The following is a 9,437-nucleotide window of genomic DNA, read 5'->3' as shown; positions in this document are numbered from 1 at the left end:
GTGACAGAGCCCAAATATGCATTTCATTCTTGAGAAGCAGACTCAAGGAACTCGTTGGAAATATTAAATTAAGCAGTGTAACAGCTGAGATAATTGGGTTTTCTGCCCTGTTGCCTGTGATTTTGTGTGGCGTTTGAGGCGGTTGGGCAGTTCTGTTTGACTGGGGAATGGGAGAGGCCCCTGGGAAGCTCTTGGAAAGTGGAGGTTGGGTGTGGTTCAACCTTATGTTGAGATGGGAGAGACCCTGAGCACCACCAATCCTCTGGGTCCTCAAATCAAAATCTCCCAGCTAAAAATGATTGCAGAGGCCATGTGGTTTGATGCCTGCCCCCATTTCATGGATGAAGAAACTGAGTCCTTAGGGAGATGGCTTAGCAAGATAATGGCAGAGCTGAGACATAAACTGCTGACTTTGAAAAGCTTTTTCCACAATATCATCCCTCCTCTTTATTATGGTCCTGCAACCGCAGGGCTTTGAGCCATTTTGCTTGTAATGCGCCCCAAAGATCCTGGGTTCTGGGATAGATAGACACATTGCAGGTGACAGTGCAGCCTCTCCTTCACTGGGGGAACCTTCTGCAAGTCTTGGCTGCTCGGAGCCTCAGTTTCCCTCTGTAAAATGGGGGTCAGCATGTTTGCATTGGAGGGAATGCAATGAGATTTTTAACAGGGCTGATTTGTAGATGAACCCCCTGTGGATATGGTTAAAGACGAAGATTTTGATTCAGCAGGTCTACAATGGGGCTGGAAATCCTGCATTTCTAACGGGCTCTGCAGGGATGTTGATGCTGCTGGGATCATCCTTCAAAGAGCAAGTTTATAACATATAGAACTGCTCAACCAGGGCTTGGTATGCAGTAGGCACTCTATCAATACACTCCCTTTATTCTCCTGTTATTCCTTCCAGGACTTTGTCCTAACCTACATTTCTGAAAACTCAGCCAGAAAGAAGATGGGAGGCAGGCAGCACGTCTGATGGGTCCCTTGGGAGCCATAAACATCCAATTCAACCTTGTGTGCTCCTGGTCCTCACCCGAAATGACCAGGCCAACTTTGTGGAAGGGGTGAGTCATGGCTGACAAGCTTTGCAGGCCTCCACAGCGGCACACTACAGAACTCAGCAGGGGAAATATTTCCACGTTTGCACATTTTCCAGCAGTTGGTCCAGGAATGCATGCCCAGTTAGCCTTGGCACACACTGGCCCAGCCCAGTACTGCCTCTCTGATGTCAAGGGAGTTTCTTTTTCAAGTCCAACTCAAAACACATTCCTGGACACCCAGAAATAAAGCTGGAAAATGGAGACCCTCTCTCTGTCTCTGGGCCACCCTCTGAGATGCCTTTCATCTTACAGCACTGACAAGATCATGTGGAAACTGATTCAGTCAAGTAGCCGCTGTGTGACCACAGCCAAGGCATCTCCCTTCTCTGAGCCTCAGTTTCCTCATCTATAAACTCTCAGCTGTGGAGTATGGAGCTTATGGATATGGATCCTGGAGTTTCCATCAGTTTCAATCCCAGCTCCATCACTTCCAAACTAGGTGAACTAGCTCTCCAATTCTCAGTTTCCTGATGTATCAATACAGGTTAACAGTAAAGTCTACCTCACAGCCCAGCTCTGGGAATTCAGCAAGATGAAAACTTATGTAATCTCAGCTCAGGGTTGGGCATAAGACAAGAGTTCAGCAAGTGCTATTATTATTTGCAAACATGAAAATTTATCTACCTACTGATTTACTGCTGGACTTTGATCTTGATTGGTGTCTACCCCAAATTGCTACTTCAATGTAATCAGCAGCTTTTATGGAGTCACTTAGGGATGATGATATTAACTTGCCAAAAGTTATTGGACGTTTATAAACCAGGCATTGTTCTCAATTCTTTACTTGTGTTATATGACAGATAATTCTCACAACAACTCTGAAAGATTGATTACGGTGAAAAATATAGTATTATTCTCTATTTTACCAATGAGGAAACTAAGGCACAGGAAGCTTAAATAACTTGCTAGAGGTCACACAGTTGAAGTATCAGTCAGGTATGGCCACAATAATGTTACATGACACGTGACCATAGACATCTTGGAGGAAAACAAGTGTTGACTTCTCCCTCATGCATGTAGGAGTTAATGGGGGTCTCCAAGACTGGTCTTGACTGAGCTCAGCCCCAGATCTTCTCCACTGATCTCCCATCCTCCTTGGACCTACAACTACTCATGGCAAAAGGCAAGGTCCCATGGGCCAGAGGAAACCACATGTTCAAGCCCAGAGTCAAGGGTTGGGGGAATATTTGTCCCCACACCTTGAAGCCCCAGCAAAGGTGTGAACATGTCATCTTCCTACACAGAAGTCAAGAACTGAGAGCATTAATTCAACATCCCACAGCTGATGGGGGATGGGGAGAGGAGTGAGGCAATTGACCCAGAGAGACTGATGGAAGAACTTGTTATCGTAACTGCTGTACCAGAAGTCTCTCTATCTCCTTAGAGTGTTGAGTAAACATGTGTAGAATGCTGCTCTCTGAAAACAGCTCTAGGTGGCTCAATCATGGCTTATGTAAGACTATTTGACATAATTTTATAGAAGATAAAATATTGGAATAATGTCCACTTTCCTTTGAGAAAGTCTAGGGAAGCAGTATTATTTATTTATCCATCCATGCATGAACCCATTAATACACCTACCATAAAATCCATACATCCATTTATCTATTCATCCACCTGTCCTAAAATCCATCTCTCTATCCATCTGTCCATCAACCTACCCACCTAGACATCTTTACATTTATCCATCCATCCATCCAACCATCCATCCATCCATCCGTCCATCCATCTCTCCTAAAATTAATCCAGTCATCCATCCATCTATCCTTTCATCCATCCATCCATCCATTCATCTACCCAGATGAAACATCCATTTATCTATCCACTTATCCATCCATCCATTAATCCTCCCATTCATCCACCTCTCCTAAAGTTCGTCTCTATATCTATCCACCCAACAACCCGCCTACCCACCCAACCACCCAAACATCCACCCATCTATCCACATCTCCTGAAATCCATCTCTCTATTCATTCATGCACCCAATCTATCCACCTACCCTACAATATCTCATCCATGTACCCATCCATCCACCTATGTTATAATCCACCCATCCCTCCATTTACCTATCCATCCAACAAATATTTATTGAGCTCCTATTATGTGCCAGACACTGTGCTGTACGGCAAACCCAGACCTGGTCTCCGCATTCAAGGTGCTTACAGTCTAGCAGAGCAGACAGATTCACCAGATAACCATACAAATAAACATACAATTCAAATGGAGACAAATGATACGGAGAAGAAGAATGAGGGGTGGTGAGAGGTTAGAAAAGGGGGCCTGACTTAGGTGGGATCAGGGAATGGCATTTATGGAAGGATCAGAGGGATGAATAGGAGCTAAGTAGATGAAAAGGAAAGAAAAGAGCCTCCCAAGTGGTGGGAAAACCTTAGATGAAGGTTGAAAATCAAGCGATGGAAAGGAATATAGATTTCTCCAAGAGCTATTAAGAGTCTGTAACTGGTCCTCAGCAAACAAAATGAGTTGTGGTGTGAGTGGGTGCTGGGGAGGGCTTCAGGGCCAGCCTTGCAGGGTCTTGTAGGCTGGGGAAGGATATGATTCTATATTTAATAGGGAGACAAATGTCCCTACAGGTGAGGAGGTCCAAGATTTGGGAGGCTAGGCTGTTGCAAGTACCCAGAAGGCCCTGCAGCTCTGCAAACATGGTTGTGGGAACTCTGAGGCTACAGTGGGGAGAGTAACTGAAAGGACCCTGTGTAGCCACTGCATCTGTGGCTCTGCTCAGGGCCACACATCTCCCAGGGTGCCAGCCACAGTCTGCCAACTCCTGCACCCCACAGTGCTGCTTAGCCCAGAAAGTTCATGTCTGGATTCAGATGGACATAGGGTTGATTCCGCAGCCCCATCATTTCCTCAATATGTGACATTGGGTAAGTTATTTAACCTCCCTGAGCCTCAGTTTTTCCATCTGCAAAATGGTGGTAATAGTTGGTGGGACAGAACTATGTCCCAATGTCCAGAACTCCCTCTTCAGCCTTCCCTAGAAATGAAGAAGGAGGCCTTAGCCTCTCAGACTGAGGTCTGTGTTGTTCATGGAGCCACATTCTATGAGAGGCTCATTGCATTTTAGTAGAGAGTGGGTACACTGCATTAGAAGATGCTGGACAGTGATGTGCCCTCTGTAGCCCTCTCTATCACTTGAACCCCTGTGGCTGGATGGTCCTTCAGGGCTAAAGCCTTCTCTGCTGACCTGACAATTGTAGCCAATGCCAAGAGGCACTAGGAAGCCTTGCGAGGTCTGTAGTTAAGAGACAGTCCCCAGGCTGCAATCAGATTTATTACCATGCCTGCCATTTATGCAACAAACTCGTGTTGAGTTCTTACCATGTGCCAGGCATGTGTCCTGTGCTGAGAACGCATAGCACCATGGAATCCCAGTGTGTTAGATGCCCACAGACTGGAAGTGGGGCAGATGTGTAGGGTAGGCTTACAGACCAGTGTGGAAAACACCCTAATCGATGTATGAACAAGTCTTTCCAGATCATAAGAGGGGGAATGACTACTCTCTAGGTAGAGAGTATTTGAGATGGCACTTAAGCATCTGCAGGAATTCGCAAAGCTTACAAGCACGGAAGAGGCATCCAGGCACAGAGGAGTGGTGCTGATGGTGCGGGAGGTAAAGGACACAAGGGCAGGACCCGCTCTGGTCTTCTCTTCTGCTATGGCCTCCAGAGCCTGAACCTTCCGCAAGACTTGCTGAATACTGTGGCCACTTAGAACCACGCTGACAATTGCAAGTGTCCCTTGCTTTATATTTTTTCACGTGCCAACAAACATAGGATCAGTCTACACATGTGTCTTGCTTAAGATCCAAAGGTGGCACAAGTAGCTATGATAGCTATGCCTGCTGTCAGCTCCTCTGTGCACCCCAGATAGTTCTAAAAACTTGATATGGAACGCTTTACTTCATTGGATCCTCTCTGCGTGAGGTTAAAAACAAAAAAGATATACTGGATTAGGAATTTGGAGACTTGGTTTCTAGCACAATGTGACTTTGAGTGAACATTTCTCCTCTCTGAGTCTTGCTTGACCCATTTGCCCATCTGTACAGTGAATGAATGCCAGCCAAAGGCCCTTCCTATTCTACCAATGGGAATTCTCTTCTTTAAGTCGGTTTTCTTATTTTATATCATCTCTCTCTTCTCAATAGGCAGGCAGTTGCTCAGGAGGGTAACATGGGGATACCCAAACTTGTAATTCATTTTAACACTGAGAATATCCAACTACTGAAATCAACCACAAGAGACTGGGAATGGAGTTCTTTTTAAGCTCCTGCTCTAGGTACAGTTGCCTTCAGATTGTCCTTTAAATATGCTATTCTTCATTCATTCATTCATTCATTCATTCATTCATTCATTCTTGCATCACTCACTGGGCATTCCCGCAAGTTTGATATTGGGCACACACAACGCTGGTACATCATTTTCCTTTCTCTTAAGATTTCTTATCTCCCAACTCAAAGGGTATTGTCCCCCCATCTTCATTTTATTATATAGTCATTTATTTATTATTTGTTTGTTCTCAAACCCCAAAGCCCTTCAGTTTAGCAGATGTGCCAGCAAACTTCCCCAAACATGGTTGTGTGTGACATTGATGGAAATAGTTTATGATCAATTTCAAGGGCCCTGATGATCTTTTTTTAATAAGGCACCGCTATGGGTGTGCAGCAAACTATGCCATTGTGATTTCACGAGATACTTGCTATGAAATCGAAAGCCGCCACCCCTCCTCCCTTCTTCCAGACTTAAAACGATGGTGCCTCCTTGGGGAGTGTCTATCAGTGGCTTCAAACCCCTGGTGTGGCTGCTACAGGATAAAGAATTTTCTCTCTAGGGGGCCCTCGCTCAAGGTCTGCAGGCAGCAGTATCTCTTCAGGTGTGGTCTAAGCCTCTGGGAATGGGCCCAGGAATCTGCATTTCCACAAGAACCTCAGGACAGTTTTATGTCCTAAAATCTGGACTCTGTCTCCTATCATTTGAAAGAAAGTAGGGTAGAAAGGAAAAAATAATCATTAAAGTCCAATATATTTGCACATCCTAGTTAATTATCTTCAGATTTAGGGAAATATGAAGTGTTATATATGGCACCTACACCCTCTTTGTAGTGTTGCCCATGGATGGACTGGCTTGGTACCTACTAAGAGGGTTTCATAATTTATCTCTTATCCCTCCTCCAACTCTACCTGAAAAACCAGAGAATACTCCCTTCCTCAATTACATTATTCCCCAAACACACCATAACTTCCAGCCTTTCTGTCCATTAACCTCTTTTCCAGGAATGTCTTTACTTCTAATAGGTCTGCCTGTCATCAAACTCTTATGCATCCCTCAAAACCCAACTTGAAACTCACCACTTCCTCCCAGCTTGGTTAATTATTCTCTTCTTCCTGCTTCTGCCGTTGAACATTCCACACTGTAGCAACAATATGATTTGCCAATTATTGAACCCCACTGTGAGTCTGGTACTGTGTTCAGCCATTGAGATATTAGAGTGTTCACAAAAAAAGGAAAGCACATTATTTCTGTTTACAAGTATTCTGCCCTGTGATCGTCCAGTGCAAAAACTGAGCCTCATTCCCCTAGTCAGAGTAATTGCTCAAGTCCCCTTGGAGGGACTGAAATTCACACGCCCATCTCACCAGCTTGGATCAGCCAGAAAGGACGGGCCAAGGGAGTCTAGAAAGAAACCGCTCAGCCATGACAGAAGAAGGGCAGAGCAGAGCCTTCACCTTCCTCCAAGCCCTGGCTTGAGCAGAGCTAGGCCCCAGCTGGAGTCATAAGTAGGAAAAGTGCTTGTTGATCTTGTACCTTCCTACCCTTGCTACAAAGTCAGATCCCTACTCAGCAACCACAGAAATACCAGCCCCAGGCAGAGTTTTAGGTTTCCTAGAATGAAGGCAGTTGGCCTCCAAGTAATCAACACAGTCCTGGTGCCACTTATGTATAGACCCAGAGGACCACAAGGCTGGAAGGCACATACAGGCAAGCCATCCCTCCTTGGCAAAGATGGATGACATCTGTGCCGTCTGATGCTTTTGGTCAGCTTCCGGGCCTTTCACACAAAATCAAGTGCAATGTTTTTTGCTAATTGGGAAACTTGCCCTTGCCCATCCATACATCTTGGTGCTCCCGGTTCCAGCATCAGCAGATCTGACTTCAAATCCTGGCTCTGCTGCTTAATAGCTGTATGACTTTGGAGAACTCACCTAACCTCTTTGAGCAGGAGCTCTCTTACCGCAAAGCGGGAATAACAAAACTTGTCACATGGCTATAGTGTGTCTCGGTGGAGGGAACACTTGTGATGGTTTTGTCCTTCCTTTTCTTCTAAATATTAATGTTCTTCTTATTATATATTGTTATTGCTGTGATTTTCTTGGTCTTGAGATTCTCGCATGATGGAGCTTTCTAAATATCACCTCTGATTATGAAAACTTCGTCTAAGCTCTTCCTCTTTCTTGGCTTTCGATATTTTCTCAAGTGAGATCGCTTTGCTAAATTCATTTTCCTGCCAATCTCCAACTTGATGCATCTTCCTGATCATGCTATATTATGTTTGGCAACATAATGTGATGTGACTCGGGCTGCCGATGACGGATGGGGTACCCGTCAGCAAATGGAACAGCACCCAATTTTCTAAAGAGCATTGTTACAGAAACAAACAGGATGGCCTTTTAACTTGTATTGATTTATTTCTGAAGAATGAGCCCCTCCGCTACTTTTACAAGTGCTGTAATTAGAGGGTAGAATTACCTTTCTGGGGAGAGGGCTCAGTGAGCTCAACAGCATGGATGGGTGGAGTGCGGGATGCAGAGAAACAATGGGGTAGGTGGAGTACAGCCCCTGACACTCCAGAAGCCAGATTTAGTCTAGGAAACCTGGAGGTTAAATACATAAAGAATCCATTCTCCCTCCCTCCCTTCCTGTTTCCCTCCTTTCTTTCTTTTCTGTCTTCTTTCCATCCATCCATCCATCCATTGTTTTATCTATTAATCATCCATCCATCCATCCATCCATCTTCTATCATCATCCATCCACCCATATATTATCCATCCATTCATCTTTTCTTCTTACTCTCCTTCCTTCTTTCTTTTACCTTCATTCCTCTCTTTCTTCTTTCCATTTATTCATCCATCCATCCATTCATATATACATTATCCATCCATTCATTCATATATCCATTATCCATCCAGCTTTTCTTTCATCCTTCCTCTCTCCCTTTCATTTTTCTTCTTTCCTCCTTCATTCCTTCTTTTCTTCCTTTCTTCTTTCCATCCATCCATCCATCCATCCATCCATATATCTGTTATCCATCTATCTTTTCTCCCTCCTTTCCTCCCTCCCCCTTTCCCTCCCTTCCCTTTTCCTTCCTTCTTTCCTTCCTTCCTTCCTTCTTTCCTTCCTTCCTTCCCTTCCTCCTTCCTTCCTATTTCCCTTCCTTCCTTCCTTGCTCTCTCCCTCCTTCCCTTTTCCCTTCTTTATCTCCCTTCTCCCATTCCTCCCTCTCTCATTTCTTCTCTTTTCCTCTCAACATTTTTGAAGGCCATGCTTGGCATGCTGTGGAGGAAAGACTCAGAGGGAAAAGGGTTCAACTCCTAGCCCTACAGTGTGACCTTGGGGATTACTTCCCTCTCTGACACCAGGTTTTCTCACCTCTCTCATCACTCTCACTTTGCTCATTAGCTTCCAGCCACCCTACCTTGGTCTTCTCCTCATTGTCCAGGAACCCCCACCTCTGCCTGTTTGCATTTATTTTCCCCTCTGCCTAGAACATCCTCCAGATAGCCTCATGGCTCCCTGTCTCCCTCTCCTCTGGTCTCTGTCCAAATGACTTCTTCTCAGAGAGGCCTTTCCTGACCACCTCTCCAAAGTAGCATCTTCTGTTACTCTCCAGCCTTCTAACTTGGCTTTATTTTGCTTTTAGCTGGTAGCATCATTTAGCGTATTATGCATTTTATTTAAATTTTATTTTAAATTTTATTTAAAGGGCATCAACTTATTTGATGTCTGTTCAGCAAGGGCTGGAATCTGCACCTTTTTGCCAACTGCCGTGGCCACACTGCCTAGAAGAGAGTCTCACATGCAGTGGACACTTGAATATCTGTTGGGTGGATGAATCCTGAATTGTAGACTTGGGCTGGGATGCAAGTGGCTTATTCAAAGGATGATGCTGGGGAAACAGGAGTGTGGGAACAGGGAGAGAGAAATGGGGAGGAGGAAAGACCAATTTTAGGGAGATGGTCATGGTCACTGCTGCGAATGTGGGTTCTATTCCTTGGGTACCTCTCAGAATTGATCATCCAGGGATCAGACAGTGGGG

General features: G+C 44.9%; 1 annotated feature.

Annotated features, from left to right (window-relative positions):
• Positions 402 to 1,601: an enhancer, noted in NCBI's record as "CDK7 strongly-dependent group 2 enhancer chr22:27566132-27567331 (GRCh37/hg19 assembly coordinates)". NCBI's record gives its function as "activates an origin of replication core promoter dependent on BRD2, BRD4, P300/CBP, MED14 and CDK7 cofactors, with strong dependence on CDK7, by STARR-seq in HCT116 cells {active_cell/tissue: HCT116}" and the evidence as "EXISTENCE:reporter gene assay evidence [ECO:0000049][PMID:35650434]".

Source organism: Homo sapiens, chromosome 22, assembly GCF_000001405.40.
Source record: "Homo sapiens chromosome 22, GRCh38.p14 Primary Assembly".
Classification (NCBI taxonomy): Eukaryota; Metazoa; Chordata; class Mammalia; order Primates; family Hominidae; genus Homo; species Homo sapiens.
The sequence above is the reverse complement of the archived record's forward strand: the minus strand, read 5'-3'. Positions and strand labels throughout refer to the sequence as shown.